The sequence below is a fragment of the Homo sapiens genome, chromosome 7 (genome assembly GCF_000001405.40).
Source record: "Homo sapiens chromosome 7, GRCh38.p14 Primary Assembly".
Lineage (NCBI taxonomy): Eukaryota > Metazoa > Chordata > Mammalia > Primates > Hominidae > Homo > Homo sapiens.
Genome location: NC_000007.14, coordinates 92,292,617 through 92,317,968, shown reverse-complemented (window position 1 = coordinate 92,317,968; position 25,352 = coordinate 92,292,617). Strand labels below are relative to the sequence as shown.

Sequence of the window (25,352 nt, the reverse complement as noted above, 5' to 3'; positions counted from 1 at the left end):
CTAATCATATAAATCGAAGTGAAATGCATTCTGGGTCCATCTTGAAGTTCTGCCCAGACTCTTACTTATGATCTAAATGTTAACACTTTTTAGAGATTTTCATTTCGCATGAGTTGATCAAAATGGTAGCTTCTTTTTATTTTCTTCCAAATAATTTTATCTTCTTTCTCTCCTCAACAAACACACAATCTTCCTATAAAGTTCTTTGGAACGGGAATCCTCACGGTTCTCCTACAGTCCTAAGAATGCTTACAAAACAACGGGCTTATATCAATGCCAGATCTGGAAGCCATGGGCTAACTTGACAAGCCCACTGGATTTGACTTTAGCTTCTTGCTCTAGCCAGAGGTATGCCTTAGAGCTAAGGTGGTTTTTAAGTTGTAAAAATAAGCAAATCAAACAAGACTATGAAATATAGACCTATGGCCACAATGCTTAAAATATTTACTATCTGGTCCTTTACAGAAAAATGTTTGCTAAGAATGGCTCTAAGTTGTCATTCTGGCAGCCACCTTCTAGATTCCGAGGGCAAGGTCTTAGCAGCTGCTATTTACCACCTAGAACCTTTTTACTGCAAGTGTGGTCTGGGGACCAGTAGTATCTCCTGGGAATTTGTTAGAAATGAAGAATCTCAGCCTCATCCCCAAACCCCTCCAAGCCCAGGCCTCTGAATCAAAATGTCATTCTGATCTCCAAGAGATTCTTTTTGCACAAAAATGTTTGAGAAGCAATGAGCCTAAAGTACAACCAATGTGGCTGTGGAAACTGATAAATTTATATTACCTAATTTATTCAATACGGGGAACTTATAGTAAATCCAGAGACTTATCATATCCATAGCAGGATCTATTACTATTTCTACCCTCTCTGTTTCACAGGTTACCAACACCTAAACACAAAATAGACTATCTGCTCCTGACTGCTGCAGAACTAAAGAGCTGACTTTATTCTTGAGTTCTTTATTCAGAGTCCCAGAAAATTATTTCTAAAATGCATGCTGGGATAACTTTCAAAATCAGGATTTGGTTTACTTTGCAACAGATATTACCACACAAAAAATATTAAATTTTAGAAAACAAGACAAATCATCTTTAACTTAATGCCCTAGTCTTCCTTAACAAAAGCAAAGACAACAAAATTTAAGAAGCTGTACCCTAACAGAATCTTGGTAAGGGGAACCTTATTAAAAGGATATGCCAGAATGTGGACTTCATTCATTGGGGGGTTAAAAAAATGTGTGTGAAGAGGGGATGTGTGAGAAGTCATCGTTGAAGGTAACTGCTGACCATTATTAGAACCTGGGTGAGAATGATTGGTAAACTATCTTTGCAAGGTGCTCCCTAATGAGTTTGACTGCAGTTGGGGTGAGGGAACCATAAAGACCTGTATCTCATTGCTGCCATTTGGCACCTGTAGAGAAACTCATAATCAATTATGAAATGGAAGGATCCATGTTTGTAGCATTAGACTTGGCTATGAAAATCCACCTGCATGTTATCTTTGGCATGGAAGACAGCTGACAGCAATAATGCCTGACATTGAGAAGAATGTGTTAAAAAGTACTTCAGCTTGCTGACCTTTACGGCATAAAGTCAGGAACACCAGTAAGTAAAAGATGCATTAAGGGGAGATAGCTGCTAAAGTGTTGTGGAATAAAGTTAGGTGTCTTACTTTGACAAAATAGAAAGTTATGTCTGGTTCTGAAGAGTACTTTTTAAATGCTTCAACCAAAGCATCTCAACTAAGTATCTGCTTTCCCAGTCTCAAATTAGCTAAGGAGGGCTTAATAGGAGGACTGAATATTTTACTTAAATATGGTTTTAAGCCTATCTTGGTGGCACATAAAATGTTCTACCTTAAAAGAAACCAAATTATCATGATCGCAGCACATCTGTTCTTCTATTCTGCCTTTCTTTCCCTTCACAATTCCAGAGGAAGAGGGGTAGGGGGCTTTAAGAGAGGTAACCCCTACTATTCAAGACAAACCCTACCCCATCCCTTTGATCACCCTCTAAATGGGTGGTGACTCTGGATTGACTTACTCAGGATTATAACTTAATCCTGCTATCCTTCTAGTTACTTTCCTAAAAATTTTCTATCTTTCTTGGCCTTCACATTTCTCAAATTAGTTATTGATACCAACTGTCTCTCAATTTCCTCAGCAAATGACTCAATTATGCCCAGGAATATGACTTCTACCTGGACTATTTTAATGAAACAATATTCCAGAAAGTCATTAATACCTCCTAACTCTCAAATCTATCAGCGTTTCTCAGTCCCCCCAATTCCTTTAGCTTTCTGCAGCACATTACATGATTAAACAGCTCCTCTCCTTGAAATTCTTCTCTTGCATCTTTGACATTGTATCATCTTGGTTCTTTTATTTCTCTATTTTTTGTGTTTCCCTCATAGGCACTACTTCTTGTTCTCATCTCTTTGAACACAGGCATTCTTCAAATTGATGCTGTGACTTTAACTCTGTTATTTTATCTATAACCTAAAGTCTTTTCCTTGCATCTCTCATCTATACATTATCTTGCTTTTAGCTGTCAACTCTATGTAGATAACACTCAATTCTAAATTCTAAATGAGTGTCTATATTCTTTATTCCCTAACACTTTAGTTGTAATTATCAACAGCCTGCCTACCATTTCATGTGGATAAGCTAGGATGTCAATATCTAGCCTTCTAAATGAAAACTCAATATATTCTCTCTTCCTTTCAACCAATTTCTCCATTTCACCTTACTTTCTAATGTCTGTTAATTGTTAGCAGGCTTCGAAGTCACTTGGGCTCAAAATCATGCCCATCTTATTTAAAAATAAAGTTAATTAATTTTACTCTAATTATAGATGTGATAGCAGGTATAGAGAATGTACACAAATCAAAAAGAGAGAGCTCACTATTGTCAATATTAAACATTATAGAGCCTCCATCCTTTTTTTTTTTAACCTTTCTTTCCCTTGCTTTCTTATTATCAACTGACTGAGTCACCAAAGGCTAACAGTTCTTCACAATGTCCCTGGCATCTGCCTCATTCTTTCCATCTCCAGTACCACCACACAAACCCAGACGCTTTGTCAGTTCACAATAGAATTAGCGCATTAATCTTCTAACTCCTATCACTCCTTCTAATACATTGGTACTCAACTTACCAATGTCTGGGGTCCCCTCTCACAAATTTAGATTTTATTGGTCTGAGGTTTCTGTGCAGCCATGCTTAGAACTACTGTTCTAGCACAAAGGTTTTCAAACTGTGTAAGAATTATTTGGGTAGCTTGATAGTCATATTAGGTAGATATGGAGAGGGGACTGTAAGAGGTATGTATACTTTTTACAGGTGATTCCAATATAGGTAGCCCACAAATTATGCCCCAAGCTAGGGTTCTCAAGCTTTAAATAAGAATCCCTTTGGGATTTTGTTAAACTACATTCAAATTTGGTTGGTCTTGGATGGAGCTGAGATTCTGCATTTCCAACAAGTTCTCAGGTGACTGATGTCAATGCCAGTCTAAGGACGATTCTTTTGAGTAGCAAGGCTTTTAAGAAACACTGCTTTGGAAGTACCCCATTCAAATCTATTGTACATTACAACCATCAGGCTAATCTCATCATATTTGCTTTCATAATATCACTCTCCGATTAAAAATTCTTTTTCTTTTTTTTTTTTGGAGACAGCATCTCGCTCTGTCACCCAGGCTGGAGTACAGTAGCATGATCACGGCTCACTGTAGCCTCCACCTCCTGGGCTCAAGTGATCCTTCCACCTCAGCCTCCTGAGTAGCTGGGACTACAGGCGTGCATCACCACGACTGGCTAATTTTTTGATTTTTAGTAGAAACAAGCTCTCACTATGTTGCCCAGGCTGATCTTGAACTTTTGGGCTCAAGATACGCTCCCGCCTCGGCCAACCAAAGTAGTGGGATTACAGGTGTGAGCCACTGCACTTGGCCAAAAAATTTTCAATGGCTCAATTTTCTCTAAAAGAAACCCCAAATTCTTAACCTTGGCATTTAGTACTTTCTACTTGGTACATCCTCTATCCTCCTTTAAAGTAATGTTTTATTACTCTTCCACAAAATACTTCAATCTGCGTATGTCTGAGACCTAGAACAGTGCTTCTCAAACTCTGCCATGCAAATAATCACCAGGAGAACTTGCTAAACATTTCTGGAATCTATTCCCAGAGATAAACGTTCAGAATGTGAAGGTCTGGTTGGCCCAATAATTTGTTTATTATAACAAGTTGTCAGAACTGATGCTGCAGGTCTGAGAGCCACATTTTGAATAGCCTCCTCCAAATACTTAAACTGAAATATTACCCACTCCAATCTTACTACTACCCATGAAATCTTCCAGGATATGTAAAATTAAAAAATTATCTCTTCAATACCTGTAACAGTCACTGCCTAAATAGTTAATATAGGCCTTAGCATCATAATAGTTGAGGGACAATAATGAGATCATAAGTATCTTGATTAAAAATTAGAAAACAGAGGCCCAGACAGGCAAAGTTACTCAGCTACTGAACCGGAAATATAATTCCTGTATTCTTTACACAGTTTTAAAACTCTAGGTGCTAAAAACACAATATAATTAGGTAATATTCTTCAGTCTGACCTGTGAATGGTTTTTACGACTTTTCAATGAAGTGTGAAACGCTCCCATAGCTGCCAAAGTGTCAAATAGGCCCTGTAGCTGTAAAGGAAAAGTGTGACTTACCACCTTTGGTTTTATAGTGACCTCTATTTGATCTGACATGAAGCAGCTACACTTAAAACTCTGAATAAGCAAGTAGGGCACAGCTGAATAGGAAATATCTAAGATAACACTCATTTAAAAAAATGCTTTTCACAAAGAGTAAAGCACTATCAAAAACAACCCCTGTCACATTCACCATTTACTGAATCACTATTACAGGTTAAGCACTAATGGAAACATAATGAGGCCTAATGACTAGGGTTGCTCTATGGAAGTCTACCAAAGGAAGAAATATCACTGGATGTTTTACTAAGCCATGCTAATAGACCTAACCCACCACCCCTCTCAAGTCCATTCCTGTTCCCAAGTAGAAAACAAAAACTCTCAGTAACTAAGAACAGTATATTATTTATTAAATTTTTGTCAGACTTATGTTTTAATGGAGCTTTATTTTTGTGTGCTGAGTATCCATTACATAGTACTTTTTAAGTCCTTTGTATAACTGAAGCTTATAGGACCTGTTACATATTGATAATGTTATTTTACATATTTAAAATAAGCTTCAAGTATGGAGTCATCTTAGGCCAAATCAAACCTGCTGCCTGTTTCTGTATAGCCCACAAGCTAAAAACAGTTTTTACATTTTCAAATGATTGAAAAGAATAAATAGAATTATTTCATGACATACGAAAATTATAAGCAATTCAAATGGTGATGTCCATAAATAAAGATTTATTAGAACACTGCCATTCTCTTTTGTTTCTGTATTGTCTGTGGCTGCTTTCAGGGTAAAATGTCAGAGTTGACTAAAATATTTACTATCTGGGCTTTCACAGAAAAGTTTGCTGACCTGTAAATAATTTTTGGAATATTAAATAAAATTAGAATTTCAGGTGCTTTAGTTATAGTCTGTCCTTAACAAATGTTTATCATATAAGCATTTCTAATTGTCAAACAATTGTAGACTACTCCTTTGCATTATTTTTATCTCACAAATAATTTAGAATAATTAATTTGTGAAACTTCAGGTTTTTCTGTGTAAGGAAGTTCTGAAAAATATGCCAAAATGAGGATTCAACATAAAGCACTTGGTGTTAGAAAGTGGCCACAGAAATAAATGGAGGAACTGGTCCAAAGAGACAGAGGTCTACTCTGCCATGGGTAGTATGAGTTTGATGCAATTTAAAAAAAAGAGGCAGATCCAAGGCAAGTGCAGGTATCAATACTGGATAAGGAGATAATGGTAGCATCATTAATAGAATCTAGAGTCAAGAATCAAGCACTAGTGAAGTCTCTACTGGGTAGAAAAGAAGACAGTACAATTTTGAAAACGCTGAATTTGAGAGATTGTTGGATATCCATACGAGGAAGTCAACCAGGCAACAATATAGCATGAAGTTCAGAGAAGTCAGATATAGGCATCAGAGACACAGATAACCAATGCAACTCTCTACATACCATGTGATACCTTCACACCTGGAGGTTGCCTGAAGAACTCTATAATTAAGGGGTTTTAATTTTATGTTCTGTGTGTGTGTGTGTGGGGGGGGCGCTTATTACAGAACATAATTATTACAGGGAGATGGTGAAGTCTTAAAATAAATATTTTATTTCTATGGTACAAAATAATGAGCTATAAGAAACTGTTTAAATTATTAAATGCCAATGATGACTTCATCAACTCTATCCTTAAATAAATATACCAGAGAGAAAAACATTTTCGACAGCTAGAGAAGATATACTTCCACAGATGTAGTCAAGAAACAGGCTGGCCTTAACAATGGGAAAAAAGATAATCTCTTTGATCTTAAAGGCTAGACACTAAAAATGGGATAAATTTTACTGCAATAACAGGCTAATAGAGAATTTGTGTTAAAAGGAATCTTCTAAATAAATTTGAGATCATCTATTCCAACCACCCAAGAGGAAACTATTACAGTGGCTGAGTGACACATGCAAGGTTCCATGGATAGTTACTCTGAGGATCAAGACTAAAAATCAATGCTCCCTCCACCATACTATAATCTCTTAGTTTTATGAAACATTAATAAATATCTGACGACACTTTCACTCAACCCAAACCTTTATATCATGCTTGGTACCAATGAGCACTATAAACATCAGAAAGCATTATACAAATGTTAGTTATTATAACTATTATTCTTACAGCCAAAGACTAAAAGCAATGATACAAAGAAATGTTTAGAAAAAAAATATTTAAATTAACTATGACAGTAAACTTTATAAGAGACATCTAAGCCTTTCCCGTTCATCAAAGTAGTATGATACCACCTGAAAATAACTAGAGACTCATACTAAGAATTAAGTTGTACAGTTAAACAGGTCACATATTTTAATGTATAGTCAGCCTTCTCTATCTGTGGTTTCCACATCCTTAGATTCCACATCCCTGGATTCAACCAACAGCAGGTAAAAAATATTTGGAAAACAAATATGGATGGTTGTGTCTGTATTGAACATCCACGTTTTTTTCTTGTCATTATTCCCTAACGACACTTACATTGTACTAGGTATTATACGCAATCTAGAGACAATTTAAAGTATAAGGAGGATGTGTGTAGGTTATATGCAAATACTGTGCCATTTTCTATAAGGGATTTGAGCATCTGTGGATTTTCGTATCTGCAGAGAGTCCTGGAACAAATCTCCCTTGGATACCAAGTGACAACTGTATTTATTGTATGCACTTGTACAAGAAAACAAAATAAGGCTTCTGGAGATAGTTAATATATGCTTCCCTGAGAAACTCTTCTGGTTTAATTAGCAGTATGCATAATAGAAAATCATTAAGGGCCTAAGGTTGGACAAGAGTATATATACTCAAGTATATATAACAGATCAAAGATAAGCTTTATCTGAATAAAATATGCTGAAATGTTATAAAAAACTAGAATAAATGTAAGGTATTTATAGGGCTCCTTTTAGAATGTTTTATATTTAATAGTAAGTCAAAGAGCTCTTCTGAATACAGAAAATGAAAACAATCATCAAATGATGTGACTTATGTGATGTGATATGCTGATAGGTCAAACAGTTAAAGCACACACACACATTTACATGCTCACACATACGTATCAAGCAAATTGTCAGGCCTGCCAGATAGTACAGTATAAACCTGGCACTAATTTCTTTCACTGAGCAAAAAATAATGCTGGTAAAACACCACTCTCAATTTTTTGAAAAATTTAATAAGTATGTCATTGTCAACATACTTCAAAATCAACAACTACTAAAGCAATGCTTATAGAGAAAAGTTGGAAGCAAGATATTAAAGCATTTAATTTATATATATATATATATATATTTTTTTTTTTTTTTTTTTTAGATGGAGTCTCGCTCTGTTGCCCAGGCTGGAGTGCAGCGGCCCCATCTTGACTCACTGCAACCTCTGCCTCCCATGTTCAGGCGATTCTCCTGCCTCAGCCTCCCAAGCAGCTGGGACTACAGGTGCCTGCCACCACGCCTGGCTAATTTTTGTATTTTTAGTAGAGACGGGGTTTCACCATATTGGCCAGGCTGGTCTCAAACTCCTGACCTTGTGATCTGCCCGCCTCGGCCTCCCAAAGTGCTGGGATTACAGGTGTGAGCCACCGTGCCCGGCCTATTTAAAATATTTAAGAGCACTATTGCTACCATCCAGAAAAATCTACTTTCTACTCCAGTCCATTTGAGAAATATGATGCAGTCCCATCAATAATGGTGAGTCATTATAGCAGGAATTCTTCCACAATAGGTAAACACAGGACAATGTACAGAGAAGCTTGTGTAAAAAGCCCCAGGAATTCTGCTATTAGTCCCCTACCCTCCAAATCCTAGGAGATTCTTCCACCACAGTGAATCAACGTTAGAAAACATTGGAGCCAGGCTTGGTGGCATGTGTGTGCCTGTAGTCCTAGCTACTCCAGAAGATGAGGGAGGGAGATCGCTTAAACCCAAGAGTTTGAGACCAGCCTGGACAACATAGAGAGATCTTGTCTCTTAAAACAACAAACAAACAAGAAAGTATTGCTTGAAAAATAGTTTCAAGTTAATGACCATCACTAACTAACTAATGGGTAAAGGTTACACAAACTCAATGAAATGACAAAGACTCTAAAAGATTAGCAAGTATCACAAACATTAGCAGTAAACAAAAGATAAGATCACAAGCATATTAGAAATCAAAGAATTGACACTTCAGATATACTGAAGAAATAATATAAGTGATGGTAATCTTTTAATATAAGAAAATGAACATTCATATTTTTGGTATATTGATCTACTTAGAAGTCTAAAGTATACATGAACAACATTAAGGAAACAAGAAATTTTCAGGTATATATTTTAATCTGATTATGATAATTGCTTTTCCAATAAAGGTATATACTTTTAGTAATAAAGATACTCTGTAATCCAGTCTAATATGCTCCTCACACATACTTAAATACATCTATGCAAAAGAACTTCTATGAGATATGTAAGGATGGATATGAATGTTGGTAGCTGAGAAAAACCTATTCTGTTGTATGTATAGTAGTGACGATACTATATAATGATTCCTTAACTTAGTTAAGATCTCATATTATATGCGTGATTTTATCTAATTAGTTGTTAAATATTTTGTAGATATAAATAATGCTATATATTTATACATGAAATATATATGGAAAAATTACAGTATAATACAGTATGTATTCAGGAGCACTTTAACGCAAATTAAACAGAAAAATACACATTTTAAAATTCCAAGTGATTTTAAAAAGACTCCAATAAATGTATTTGTTAATATTTATCCATTGCTTAGTGAGCTTATCAATTCTACATAAACTATAGGTCCCACTTGCCAAAAATTTGCTATACTTAACATGTATAAATTTTATAAATTGGTGACCAAAAAAATCAGCAAAAAAGCAGAATATATCTCTACTATAACTATGACTCTAAATACGATAGTGCTTAATTGATGACCAATATCTTAAGAGATATCAACAAATTTTTAATTGCTCTTGGCTCCACTTTACTACAAAAGTGATTGTTCACCTGTGAGGCTTTCTCTCTCCCTAAAACAATGAAATAACTTTATTTAAAAGAGGCCGTTGGTTGGGCGCAGTGACTCCCGCCTGTAATCCCAGCACTTTGGGAGGCTGAGGTGGGTGGATCACGAGGTCAAGAGATGGAGACCATCCTGGCCAACATGGTGAAACCCCGTCTCTACTAAAAATACAAAAATTAGCTGGGCTAATTTTGGAAATTTTTGGAAATTAAATTATACAAAAATACAAAAATTAGCTGGGCTAATTGTGGCGCGTGCCTGTAGTCCCAGCTACTGGGGAGGCTGAGGCAGGAGAATCTCTTCAACCTGGGAGGCAGAGGTTGTAGTGAGCCAAGATCACACCACTGCACTCCAGCCTGGCAACAGAGCAAGACTCTGTCTCAAAAAAAAAAAAAAAAAAAAAAAAGAGGCCCTTTATTTAAAAGGGTCTTTTAGAAGACAAAAGAGAAAAAAAATGACCAAATTACTAAGACAATCAAAAAAAAAAAAACCTGACAGTTACATATCACCTGGATACAAATTTTACAATGCAGAATATTAAAAAAAAAAAAAATTTACCTCTACACAGGCTTTCATCCCTGAGGCAGCAGCATAGTGCAAGGGTGTGTTTTTTTTGTTATCAACAGCATCAATAGCTGCTCTCTCATATTCACCCTGGTCAAGTTTTGCTCCTTTCCATTTTAAGATCATCTGCAGACAATCTGCTCTTCTGAAATCATCTTCTGTGGGGCGTGCCAAGCGAGGATGAAGGGCTCCTTCAGATATCATAATTTGAGGTCCCATACACAACAAATGCATAGATGTTTCATTGTGCACATTCCGTTTATTTGGATTTCCATCTCTACCAAGAAAAGTCCTAAAATGGAAAGAAAGGGAAAAATAAAGGATGAAAATCACTTATTTTCTACCTTGAAATACATTGAAGATAACACTTTTAAAAGATAAACTCTACTTCTAAGCTGATAATCCAATTTATACTGAGGGTCTGGTTTACAACAGCTTGAATGACTAATTCTTAGTTTTAAAAAACTCTATTCTAGAATAACAATACTAAGAAAAATAAATGTAAATATCTTTATACTACTTGCTAATTAAAAGGGAGGGAAAGGAAGGGAAAAGGAAGAAAAAAGGAAGATGAGAAATATAACAGGTGAGGAATGGACAGGAAAAGAAAACACAGTGGTAATTTACAGATTAATGTCAATTATACAGATGCCTAAGGGTGTATTAAGCATTCCACACTAATTTTTAATTCTTCTTTTATTGCTCTGATCTATTTGTTGCATACATAGTTATTTAATAGTGACAACAACTACTATATTAGTGGCAACTAATTTAAGGACAGAAAGTAATATGTAAGCCTGAGACTAAATCCAGAGAAAATTTTCTCCACCAAGGTCATCAGCTAACCTTTGAAATAATAAGGCATATATTTACACGATGTCTTAATCTGCTTGAGCTATTATAAAAATATCATAAACTGAATGGTTTATAAACAAGAAACACTTATTTCTCACAGTTGTGGACGCTGGTAAGTCCAAGATTAAGGTGCCAGGTGATTCAGTGTCTGGTAAGGGCTCATTCCTCATAGAGGCCTTCTTGTGTTCTCTCACATGGTGGAAGGGGCAACTACTCCCACCATGTCTCTGTGCACTACTCCCATTCCTGAGGACTCCAACCTCGTGATCTAATTACCCTCCAATGCCCCATTCAGACCACAGCACATAGTATAATACTTTCTGAGGGGAGTTGTGGTTAGATCTAGAAGACTAAGATCTAATTCCACGGTGAGTGTTTATCTCAAAGATAGGTCTAGGTGAGTTGCCTTTACTACTGCCAAACCCAGATCTAAGAGTTGTGCCTAGCTCCTAAAATGAGTCACAGGATTAGTAGTTGACCTAGAAAAGGCAAGGGAAGGGATTCTACCCTGGAGCCTCCAAAAGGAATGCAGTGCTGCCAACACCTAGAGTAGTTCAGTGGAGCCATTATAGTCTTCTGAACTCCAGAACTGTAAGATTTGTGTTGTTTTAAGCCACTAATTTGTGGCACTTTGTGACAGCAGCAACAGGAAATTAACTCAGCAAGGAACCCTAAAAATATCAATCTGGGATGTTATAGAAGAAGGCTTGTATTAACAGACCTCCTCCCCTCTTGGAGACCAGAGGGTGGGGTGGCCTGGGGCGGGGTGGTGGGTGGGAGGAAGAATCTATCCCTGAGCAAAAACAAATTTTCCTAGGGGAAAGATAAGACTAGCATCTCTCGGTTTTACAACTTAAGGAATACTTCCATGGTCTCGAGGATCATCCACTCCTCATTCCCTGCAAATGTAAATACATATCTCACGGGCAGTAAATCTCTCTGCAGTCCTCAACCTCTATTCAGCCATAATTTAATTTCCAAAGCTCATTTTTTGTCCAGGTTCCAAGTTTTAGTACAGTTTGCTCAGGTTTTCTCTACATGCTTATTTTCTCTACAGCTCCATGTAGCCTTTATGGTCTTCTGATGCCGGCAGTACACTTCAATACTTGCTCAATTTGGTTTCCCAGGAACTGATTCAGGCCACTTAAGCAAACCAACACTACTTAGAAGCCTCTTTACACTAGGCTCCCCCACCAGTTCAGTTTGCCACTCTTTTCTTTGTCTTCATATAGCATCCCAATTACATAACTCATTACATTTTATCATACTTTTTTACCTGTCTGTTCCCTTCTCCCAAATAGTTTATAGGCTTTTAAGGCAGGGCCTATATTCTGTTCTTTCTTGAATCCCCAACACAGTGTCACAAACACAGCAAATTCATGCCATAATTTTGATAAATGAATTGGATGCATATTAAACTTTCATGACCTAGATCAGTGACATGGGACTGGGGAATCTCTTGAGCCAGCAGTGCAGTACATTGGTTAAGAACGTGGTCCCAGACTGCTAGGTTCTAATCCTAGTTCTGTCACTTTCTAGCTGTGTCACCTTGGGCAAGTTACATAATAGCTCCTAACAACTAATATATGATTTACATCCTTTGACTGAGTAAAACTACTCCTGAGAGTTTATCTTAAGGGAAATAAAGAAAAATCTATAGAAACAATGAAAATCAATACAGTGTTACTTTGAACAGAAAAATCTGGAAATCACTTAAGCGTTTAATAATAGAAATGGGAAACATAAATCTGATATACAATAGAAAATTATAGTCATTTAAAGTCTATCCACGAGTGTTATAACTAAGTGGAAATATAAGAATAGAATTTCCCTTTCCCTTCTCAATCTTCTGAATATACATGGATACAAACTATAAGGGAACATGGAATAATTCTAACATTTGCTTAGGGGAGGCAAGAATATGGGTAATTTTTTTTATACAGCCATAATGTTGCTTAATAGTTAAAATATATATTTTCCCTATTCAACCGCTGATAATAAAATTCCCAGTCATATTTCCTTGTATTTATGATTGAATTATAGTGGATAGCCAAAATTAAAACCATACTCTAAAATGTATTCAAGATTATTATCTCTTCTACAAGGCATGATTGACAAAAAAAGATTTCATTTTCTTAAAAATTTAATTAAGAAAGAAATTATTAAAGCTATCTGATTCTGTAAATACCCTGTACAAACACATTTATCTAGCCTTTCTTATACCCATTTCCAATATATCAGTTATTCTCTTAGTTTGCTCAGGAGAGTTCAGGTTCTTATCACAAAGAAATTTAACATAAATTGAGAGAATGTCAGCTGATATGGAAGGACCAAGCTCGCTCTCTCTAGTATTAAATATCTCTAGATCCTCCCCATATAGAGAAGAGAGAGACACTCTCTTGCCAATCCGCCGGGTTCATTAATCAAACCAAACACAGAGAGTGTATTATTCTGAAGTATTAAAATAACTTCTTTATACATATTTATTCAAGAAAGAGTCTCAAATTATTAGACACAGTAGCATATCTGCATAAATATTTTATGCTAAAACTATTCATAAAATTGAATATTCTAATTTTATTGATTCCTCTCATCTGTTTAAATTCAAAGGAGACTCTTCCTAAATTTACATAAATGTATAAATGGAATAATGAGTATAAAATCGATATGTATGTTTTAGACCCCTTTCTGTAACTATGTTAGTAGTTATGGGTTTTTTTTTTTAACTACTTGCATATGAAGTTAATTCTGGAACAGGGATAGGAGATAATTAACAGGAAGGTGGGGTAGGGAAAACATTAACCTGGGGAAAAAATCCATCCCTTTCATGTGACCCTAATAACCCATCCAGGAGCCACGTGCTTTTCTAGATTCTTTCACTGTTAATTCTTAAGCAGCCAGTTTATAGCTGTTACCTCTATTTCTTCTACATTCATTCTCCACTTCCATATGACCCTATTCTTATCACTACATGGAAGTTTCACTCTCTCATGTAACCAGGAATTTCCTAAGAGCTAACTTATTCATCATTGTCCCTAATTTTTGTTCTAAACTTTAAATTACCAACTGCTTCATTTACCTCCTGACCTTTCTATTACCTTGGCTTCTGTAATCACACTTTTTCAATAATCCTCTTAATTTTTTTCAGTACAACAACTTCTCTTTTACCCATGATGATGGCTCTACTTCCTACCCCGTTACTGGAAGCAAGTTTCAGTTCTTGACCCCCATGTTTTTCTCCATACACACTGTCTTCTTTCAGAGAGTCCATCCACTCTGAAAGCCATTTCTCTTTCAATGGTTTAGGTGAATACACTTTGTAAATTGGGAAGTATGACCAGAATTCAAATGACAGGCAGTAGTGGCAGAATCACAGGTTTCCCTCAAAGGGCTTCTACTATAGATTGAATATCCCTAATTCAGAAATCTGAAATGCTCCAAAATCTGAAATGTTTTGAGTGCCAATGTGACTCTCAAAGAAAATGCTCATTTGAGCATTTAGATTTCAAATTTTTGCATGTGGGATGCTCAACTAGGTAAGTGTAATGCAAATATTCAAAATTCAAAGAAATCTGAAATCTGAAACAATTTATTCCCACTCATTTTGAATAAGAGATGCTCAATTTGTGTTACTTCTGTGATAATTCTTAATGCTCTATCATCCTATATGACTTCTCATCTGACCCCATACCACATTCTTAAATCTTATAGGCCTTTCTCTTGCACTCATACTCAAGTGAACTCTCTCTGAACTAACTGTCTTTTCTCCCAGAGCCTCAATTTCTTGCAATAACTCTTTTTATTCCACCAGTCAAATATACTTAAACCTTCAGTTCCTTTGATATCCTCTTTCATGCAACATTGACTGAGCATTCATTATTTGCCAGGTACTATTCTAGAAGTTAGGGATATTGTAAAGAAAACAGATAAAGTCCCTGCCCTACGGGGTTTGCATGCAAGATAAGGGGGGTTGGGAGAGGAGACCTGTATTTCAATTTATTGAAAAGAACTTAGCTCCTAAAATATAAAACAGTCAAAAAACAGAAATCAATAACTGGAAATTCTATCTTAACTAATCCTCAAAGCTACAGACTTTGATATTAACATGTGCTCTAATAAAGACAGGCTCTAATAAATATTTTCTATTTTATTTCCAAATAAGCAAAAGAGGCTGTTTTATAGAAGATACAACTAATGAATTATATATCCAAATTAGAACACACTGACTCCAAGTCCACGGCTTTTTTATACATTAAGCAGTAGCTGTGAGTATGGATTTAGTTTCCCACAAAAGAGGCAGTGTGATTGTGATGTGATATAATATAACCACATAGCATGTGGGTTCAGAGAGAGAGAGATGCAAAGGTGCATCTATTACCATATTATTCTACCTAAGAAACGAAGAAAGTGATGCCTGCTATTGCAGATACCATATAGCTAAAGGAAATGGGGAAAAAAATCAAGGTCTTATTCCAAACAGGTGCTTTACTTTATAGCTAAAAGGTCCGTGACTAGGAATATCTACCTTTGCCTACATATATACATCATATATTAGGAATCTAGGCCGGATGCAGTGTCTCACGCCTGTAATCCCAACACTTTGGGAGGCTGAGGTAAGTGGATCACTTGAGGTTAGGAGTTCCAGACCAGCCTGGCCAACACAGTGAAACTACATCTCTACTAAAAATACAAAAATTAGCTAGGGGTGGTGGCAGGCACCTGTAATCCCAGCTACTTGGGAGGCTGGGGCAGAACTGCTTGAACCCTGGTGGCAGAGGTTGCAGTGAGCCAAGATCACACCACTGCACTCCAGCCTGGGTGACAAAATGAGACTCCGTCTCAAAAAAAAAAAGAAAAAAGGAATCTAGCCAAGCTCAGCTACAGTCTACAATGAAGTCTCAGAAAGGCATCCCAGATTATATGAGGCAGCATGAGAAAGTAATAGTCATCAACTTGTGAGAAAGTAAAGTAGGACTAAATCTAACACAACATTTTAACCTGCCTAAAACAAAAATAATTAAATAAAAGTTATTTTACTTAATGCTGATGAGTAAATGCTGTTTATCCTTATTAGACATGATGTAAAAGTATAAGAAAGTTAATTTCTTATTCCAAAATCAATTAATCATTTAAAATAATAATCTGGCAAAATGAAAAGGCAACCTGTAGAACTGGAAAATACATTTGCAAACCATACACCTGAAAAATAGAATAAAAACTATATAAAGAACTCATAAAATGCAATAGCACAAAACAAATAACTCAATTAAAAAATGGGCAAAGGACCTAAATGGATGATTTTTCCAAACAAGATATACAAATAACCAACAGTCATATAAAAAATGTTCAACATCACCAATAATCACAGAAATGCAAATCAAAATCACAGTGAAGTATCACCTTATACCTGTTTGCATGGCAATTATCAAAAAAAAAAAGGTAAGTGATGGCAAAAATGTGGAAGGAAGGGAACCCTGGTACATTGCTCATGGAAATGTAAATTGGTACAACCATTATGGAAAACAGTACAGAAGTTGAGTAAAACATTAAAAACAGAACTACCATATGATCCAGGAATCTTACTTCTGGGTATACATCCAAGGAAATAAAATCACAAACTCCGAAGAGATATCAGTACTCCCATGTTCACTATAGCATTATTTATAAAAGATAAGATACAGAAACAACCTAAATATCCATCAGTGGGTGAATGGATAAAGAATATGTGGCATATATACAATGGAATATTATTCAGTCTTAAAAAAGAAGGAAATCCTGCCATTTTCGACATAGATGAACCTAGAGGATATTTTGCTAAGTTCAGTGCATTATACACAGAAAGACAAATGAGTGCAAGATCTCACTTATATGTAGAATTTTAAAAAGTTGAACTCAGGAACAGAGGCTAGAATGGTGGTTAACCAGGGTCAGGGGTAAAGAAAATGGGGAGATGTTCGTCAAAGGGTACAAATTTTCAGTTAGAAGATGAATTAGGTTCTGGAGACCTAATAAACAGCATGGTAACTATAGTTAATAATTATATATTATATACTTGAAATTTGCTACAAAAGTATAATTTAAGTATTTTCGCCACACAGAAAAACTATTTGAGGAGATAAATATGTTAAGTAGCTTGACTGTCATAATCAGTTCACAATGTATATATATATATTAAAACATCACATTGTATACCTTAAATATATACAATTTTTATTTGTCAACTATACCTAAATAAACCTGGAAAAAAACTGATTTGTGATTCTCTCTGTACTATCTAAATAAATTTCCAAAGACAAAAGAATATATGATTAAAGAATTAGGGTTGTTTATTCTCAGGAAATGAGAACAATAAGGTAATTTGTTTCTAGCTTAATATGTTAAAAGCTTTAATTAAAAAATTATGAGCCATTGTCCTTCAAACCAGAAAAGAAAAAAGAAAATATCCAAAGACTTTTGGTAGAAGTTGTAAAAACATAAGTATAAAGTTAAGTATCATAAAAATAATCCAAACTGGTAAGTAAAAGAGAATATACAATCATATTTCCTGTAGGTCTTTAAATACGCATTCAATAGAATGATAACCACATGACAGGGACAGACAGACATATTTCTGCTTGGAGGAACCAGATCAGCAGTTCTTATATTATTTTAGGTTAACAAGACCCTTATACGATTTTAAAAATTACTGGCCAGGTGTGGCGGCTCATGCCTGTAAGTCCCCACACTTTGGGAGGCCGAGGAAGGGTGGACTGCTTGAGCTCAGGAGTTCAAGATCTATCTGCCAACATGGCGAAATCCCATCTCTACAAAAAATTAAAAAAAAATTGGCCAGACATAGTGGCACATGCCTGTAGTCCCAGCTACTTGGGAGGCTGAGGCAGGAAAATTGCTTGAGCCTGAGGTCGAGGCTGCAGTGAGCTGTGATTGTGCCACTGCACTCCGGCCTGGGAAACAGAGCAAGACCCTGTCTCAGAAAAAAAAACAAAATTACTGTAGGTTCCTAAGAGTTTTTGTTTATATGGATACATTAATTTTAAAAATAAACCCATTATATATTAACAACATGTTTAAATAAAAATAACTACATTTTAAAAAATTAAGTGAAAAGAGCGGCATTGTTTTTCCATGTTTACAAATCTCTTTTAATGTCTAGTCTAATGGAAGACAGCTGGATTTTCACAGGATTCCATCTGTTGTAATGTATTGTTTTGATTTAACTATATAAAGAAAATCCAGCCTTTATATAGTTAGGAAAGTGAGAAATGTTTTTAAATATCTGTCTCAGATAATAGTGAATATTCATATTTGATACTATACCAAAAATTCAACATCGGTAATTTCTTAAAGATTAGTTGCAGTGTAGTATTTGAAATGATATCAATGACCTTTTTGTACTGTTACATTAAAGTCCATTGGTCTATCTTACATTTTGAATATATCTTTCACCCATACATAATTTTTAAAAATCATACACTGATCTTCTCAAAAATATTGATTTACTGAGTTACGCAGATCTTCCAGATGTCACATTTCATTAAACAATATAAAAAGCTATCATCATCAATCTTATCAGAAAAGTCTGTGTTGAGAAGTTGTTGAGCTGAAGGTAGTGAATACAAGTTTTCCTGGATTTTAATAATCACTTGAAAGCTCAAATTTTATCATTAGCAACAAATAACTGGCAGTAGTTTTCCCTGAAGTGACAGACTCAATTCATTTTCAAGAAAATGTTGGCTAAGTACCCAAGTCTAAACAACCATTGTTTTCTTGTTATTGCTAGTTGTAAAATGCTGTTCCATTAAAAAAGTACGCAGTTCAACTCACAACTCAAACAACAGCACAGGTGTGCTTCCTCAGAGCCATCGTCGTATTCTGGTATGTAGCAGAAATGCTTTATGCATACCTTGAAGTTGTCACAGAATATTAAAAAGATGTGTTACTTAAGGGTGGAGATTAATTAAAATTAATTTTACTGCTTTAATCGAGGATTTTTTTAGGGGAAACTGCTTTTTTTTTTTTTTTTTTTTAACTGCAAGTGCCTAACAGTGATGAATACAATGATTACTAATACAGTTTGGTACAACTACCTTCATTCATCTTAAAGGTGCCAGCAGTTTTATCCTCTATTTTTTGTCCTGCCACTGCAAATGCCAACACAGTATAAAAGGCAAATAACATCTTGGTATAATTATAAAAATAGTTTTGACTTCATGTACCCTTTGAAAGAGTCTCTGGATCCAGGAGTCCTCAGAACACATTTTAAGAATCACTGGACTAAATGACTTACTTATATGTTTTCCATTTATATAAAGTATATTTGTAAACTCTACTATAAGGGGTTAAAAAGTATTTTACCACTTGGTTTATGTTAAAATATACACATTACCTTAGTAATAATAATACTTAAATACATTTTATATTGGTATTATAAATAAGTTTTAATTAATCACATATAATATTTGATATTAAATATTACTGAAGTATCCAATATTAGGAGTTTTGTAATATATCAACAGTTTTATAATTTCACTTAAAATGTTCAACTTAAATAAGCAAAACAAAAAGATCATGTTAAAAAGCCTTAATAGATTAGTAATCCACAATCTATTGAGAACAAACTAGGTGTCTAGCACTGTATTTATAATATTTACATTCTAGTAGAGATGAGTTTAGTAATAATAATAATAATATGATTTTAAATGTAAATTGTAGGAATTTCAGAGAACAGAAAGAATACTGGAGGTCAGAGTAGTTGGGGATGAATTCACAAAGAAGGCAGAAACAGAGTTAGGACTTAAAGGACAGGTAATTAGAGAAGAGAGAAGCCATTTGAGAATCCAGAAACAACCGGAATGAAGCTAAGTGGGTGGCATTCTTAAAAGTGGGAAAAGCAAGAGGGAAGTCAATCAACCAGTTTGAATGGCAAGATCATGTTAGAAAGTAACAAGAGAATAGGCTAACTGAGTAGAATGAAGCCAGAAGTAAAGAGAGTTTTGGAAGCCAAATAGAATATAATGTAGAAAACAAGGTATTATAACTTTCTCAAGACAGAAAGAACACTGAAAGGCTATGCTTTAGTAAAATTAATCTGGACATTAAACTATAAGAAGAGACTTGTAAAAAAAAAAACCATTTAGATGCCAGATACTTTTAAGTGTTAGGAGCAGGGGATGATTAAGAGTGAAATAAGTTTAGGGCAAAAGGAATGGAAAGAAGTAAATCCAAGAGTAAGACTTAGTGAACTTAGCAGCATGGTGGTAAAGAAGAGTAAATCAAGGATGATTTAAAGATATTAAGGATTATAGCGGTGAGAAATAATAAACATTAGCAAGTGTATATTGTATGTTGGGCAGCATAATAGACATGTAACACATTAACTGTTTAATTGTTCTACAAGTTCTGTGAGGTAAATATCCATTATACAGATAAGAAAACTGCAGTCCAGAGTGACAAAGTAATTTGCTTTGCTAATAAGTGACAGGCAGCCCTGACACATAAGCTGATACGACTATAGAAATAAGAGGCTGTCAGTACAGTGGTTAAGAGCCCAAAGCTTACAGTCGTCTAGCTGGGCAACAAGCTTCGCCAGTTACAAGTTGTGAGACCTTACTGTGCTTCAGTTTTCTCACCTATAAAATACAGACAATAAACTACCTCATAAAATTGTAATGAGGATTCAGATAATGCATGTACAGCACTGTTAATAGCTCTATTAAACAGTAAGCCCTCAATAAACATTTGCCATTATTATATCAGCATGATATGCTGGTGTCATTAACATGTGGAAGACCCAGTTTTGGAAGGGAAAATATAAAATTTCAAACAACTAAGCTGGAGGTGGCTTCTAAGTATCTATTTTTAGAGAAATAAAAATGAAAGATAGAAGCAAAAAAATTAGATAAAAGAAATACCTATAAAAATCAAGATAAACCTAATTAAGTCATAGGCCTGGATGACCTAAATTATTTATGAAATTTTTCTCATTCATAAATTCTGATAATAAAAATATTTCTTTGTGTAATGATTTTATAGAACTTCTATTTACTCTGTGTAAAATACTATGCTAGATGCTAGAAGTACAAAGATACCTTTAAAAAAGTTATTAATATAGGTAGGCAGAGAGAAGCTATACAAAATTGTAAAATATAATAGGTAATATATAGCAAATACGTGAGGCAAACAAACAAATGATAAAGAGCCTTAAAAGTTTTTTAAAAAGAGAGAGGTTCCCATGGGTTATGACAATCTAAGTAGATAGATGTGGCACACACAGGATCTTGAAGAGCAAAATTTAGATAAAAAAGACCCTTTGGGAGGCCAAGTGAGAGGATGGCTTGAGGCTAGGAGTACAAGACTAGACTGGGCAACACAGCAAGATCCCAGCTCTACAAAAAACACACAAAATATTAGCTGGCTATGGTGGCCGAGGCCTGTAGTCCTAGCTACTTGGGAAGCTGAGGTAGGAGGATAGCTTGAGTCTAGAAGTATGAGGTTACAGCAAATTATGATCACACCACTACACTCCAGCCTGAGTGACAGAGCAAGACACCGTTTCTATTAAAAAAAAAAATTAGGTAAGAGAGGGAAAAGGGAGAGGAGTGAGAAAGAGGGGGATACTCCTGGCCAAGAGAACAGCATGGACATGGCAGACAGAAACCTCACGGCATGTTTTGGAGATAGCAAAAAAAGCAGCTTAATTGGAACAATAATTTGTACACGGAAGAAACAGGAAAAAGGCTGAACGTTAAGTTTTTTTAATCAAGTTCCAAAGAGCTCTGAATACTAGTTCTAGAATTATATTTCACTGCATAAGAAAATAAGCATTTTTTTCCTTTCTCTTCCAGCATCAGACTCCTATACCTGCATAATCTACTTCTAAAAAAATTAACCTTGCTTTGTAGCTACTGGTCTATTCTTTGTTCCCTTTATTTTATAAGCTAGTAAATATCAAATGTAATTCCCATGTGATTAGGTAAGAATCTTCATATAAATAGATTTGCTATGTCACTAAAGCTTCCTCGTTGAATAGGTATTTTTTAAAGTTTCTTAGTATTTTCAGTTTTAAGAAAATGTTTGGATTTTAGAAACATCTTTTCAAGTAACTGAATCCCATTAAAAGAAAGGAAATTCAAACTGATCATGACTAGAAAAGGCAAATGCACCCATTTTTTAACTAAAAATAGCTAATCAGAGTTTGGAACTTTGCCTTTGGCACCATTCCCTGCATTTTTTTGACAGCTGACAAGTACTGTTCTAGAATTGAAATGTTGTAAATTAAATACATTATTATCAAGAATTCATACTATGAAACATAATGAGGATCAAAATATATTTATAGCAACAAGAACACATGAACCAACCTCACCATTAAAAGCTTTGGACTAATTCAGATATAATAAAGAAAATTTGACTAAATCATAATAAAGAAAATGATATCAAATATTTAGGTATATTTGGTTTTAGAAAGTTTAATTCACTATAAAACCATATTACATGTACATGTTTGTATATATATCATGTCTGTATATGTCCGTATTTTCAAAAATCATAGTTCCTTTTTTTTCACCACTTTGTTACCAATTAGTTTACGGTAATACCCTAATACCAATTAGTTTATAGTAATACTTACCCTAATATTTTATTCATTCCATGTCTAGCAGCATAATGTAATGGAGTATTGTGCTGGTAGGGCTCCCCATAAGATGTATTTGGATCAAGAGATTCTTTTAGCTGAGGATTGTTTTCATATATTTGGCAGGCCAGGTTTTCATCACCATTGATGAGTGCTTTACGGAATTTGGTGGTTGTATTTCCCATGTTTTGTTTTGTTTTTTCTGATAGGCAGTGGCACTTTTTTCCTTCTATCTTCAGCCACTTCTGGAACACTTCTGCAACATCTTTCACATTCTAATGAAGGAAAAGTTATTCAAATTAGATTGTAAAACAATAATCACAAAAGAAACAATAACACAATTAGGAACACTAAAAAAAATCTGGGAATCATCGATAAGGGAACCAACTATATTACATTTTACCAAATTTATCTTAACAGCCAAAAAAATCTCAAATTTTTAACACTGTCCAAATTAACTTATTGTTAAACTTTAACACTTTCCCACACAGAGACTGTTAAGGTTTCACAGGCAGTCCTTCGGATTACAAAAATTATCTATATATAAAACTTTTCAATTTTCCTCTTCACATGGCAGAAAATGAGCTTGACTGAATTTTATGGTTGAAAACACTTAAATTTCTGTATAAATTATGTATAAATCTTACTCAGCCAATTTGTGGGATAGTGAAAAATGTAGGAAATTTTGCCCAAACAAGAACTGCAGAAGAGGCGTTAAAATGCAGTAAAGGAAAAGTGAAACTGCTCAGTACTTTATGAGGACATCACAGAAAAGACTTAAAATGTAAACATACAGGAATACACAATTCAATGATACTTAGATTATCACAGAAAAGTACTAAAACTGATAATACACAGAACAATACAGTGATTATTCTACCATTTAAGACCATTAAATTTATTTCTTTCTGCTATACAGAATTTAAGTCTGAAAACATCAAATGTTTATGCATACTATGTCTGGAAAGAGGTTATGATAATCATCACATGGGCAATGTGATTGCTAATTTATTTACTACTGAAGCAATGTGAAGTGGGTGGGGGAAGGTCATAGAAACAAACACTGGACATGAAGTTCAAAATACCGTATTTGCCTACAACTAGTTATGTAATTTTAAGCAAGTTATTCATCCCCTAAAAGCCTCAGATTCCCATCTGTACAGCATGGAAAATGACCATTTCTTAGGTATGGCTGTGAGGATTATAAGAGTTACTTAAAGTACCTACTGCAGTCCTTAGTTAATGAGTCCAATAAATGCTAGTTTCATTCTATTCCAATAAACGTTGTTTCTGGATCTATTCTTGAGCTATGATGAAAATTAGTGACAAAGAAAACAGCATATGCAAAGGCAGGTATGAAAAAAAGGCCTACACAAGGAACAGTTAAGTATGAATAGAGTTCAGAGTCTCTAGCATTAGATTAACAAGAGATAAAAGAAAAAATAGGTTGGGACCAGATAAGGAACTTACACTTTAACCTGAAAAGAACAGATAATTAAAGGCTTTTATGCAGGGCAATGATATAATTATTTCATGCTTTAGAAAATTATTGTGACAATGTAGAAGATAGAATAGAGGGAGGAAAACTTAGAGGCAGAGAATACAACAGTCTTTCATGTTACTCTATTAATTCAGTGGGAGGCTGGACACTAAAACATAGCTTTAAAAAACAGGTGAAGGGTGTGGTGGCACATGCCTATAATACCAGTTATTCGGGAGGGTGAGGCAGGAGGATCACTTGAACCCAGGAGTTTGAAACCAGTTTGGGCAACAGAGCCAGATCTCATCTCAAAACAAACAACAACAATAACAACAACAAACACAGGTGAAAATAATATGCACAGTGTTCGACATAGGCTTTGTGTAGGGTAGTTCTCAACCTTGGCTGTATAATAACCTGGGGAACTTCAGAGTTCTACTGACCAAACTACATCTCATAACAAAAATCAGAGTCTCTAGGGGAAGCACCCAGGCACGGGTATTTAAGCTCCTTATGTGATTTTCAATGTGCAGACACCACTGTATAAAAGGCTTCTGGTGCCCTGCAGCTAAGTATCAGAGTAAGATGTCTGCCAAGCCTATTCTGGAGGTAGGCATTAACTACCTACTTACTATAGCAGCACATTTGCTGGCCCACTACTATATGTAATGAGGTCACCATTTGGGTTTTTTAAGCGTTATTATTGATTTTTTTAATTTTAAATATGCAAATACATACATACAGTAGAGCTTTTTGAATATATGAACAAAGAGAAAGAATTTAAAAGCTCATGGTTTACCTCACGGTTTACTGCAAGAAAACCACTGGTAGCATTTTGATACATAACCACCCTATTTAAAGGTGTATGTGTGTGTTTGTGTGTATAAAATATGTATGCATATACACAACATAAACATGTATATATTAATTGGATCATATGACATAGTTAAGTTTTTATTTAATTTTTCAGAGGGTTGCTAAACCTTTAGCCTAAAATATTATACTTTTATTGTTTCATCCAATAAGAGGAGCAAATCCTTCTCTCCCATACTATACACAATATACTA

At 34.9% G+C, this 25,352-nt stretch overlaps 1 protein-coding gene across 1 annotated transcript in view; it reads right to left on the bottom strand.

Moving 5' to 3' along the window:
- The window catches only part of ANKIB1 (ankyrin repeat and IBR domain containing 1), a 155,410-nt gene that overhangs the window by 83,415 nt on the left and 46,643 nt on the right, over positions 1-25,352 (bottom strand). The window contains exons 2-3 of the mRNA NM_019004.2: positions 22,803-23,080; positions 10,313-10,610 (exon numbers count right to left, since the gene is read on the bottom strand). Of these exons, the coding sequence (NP_061877.1) occupies positions 10,313-10,610; positions 22,803-22,990 (486 nt within the window). The 5' untranslated portion in view covers positions 22,991-23,080. The remainder of the gene's footprint in view (positions 1-10,312; positions 10,611-22,802; positions 23,081-25,352) is intronic.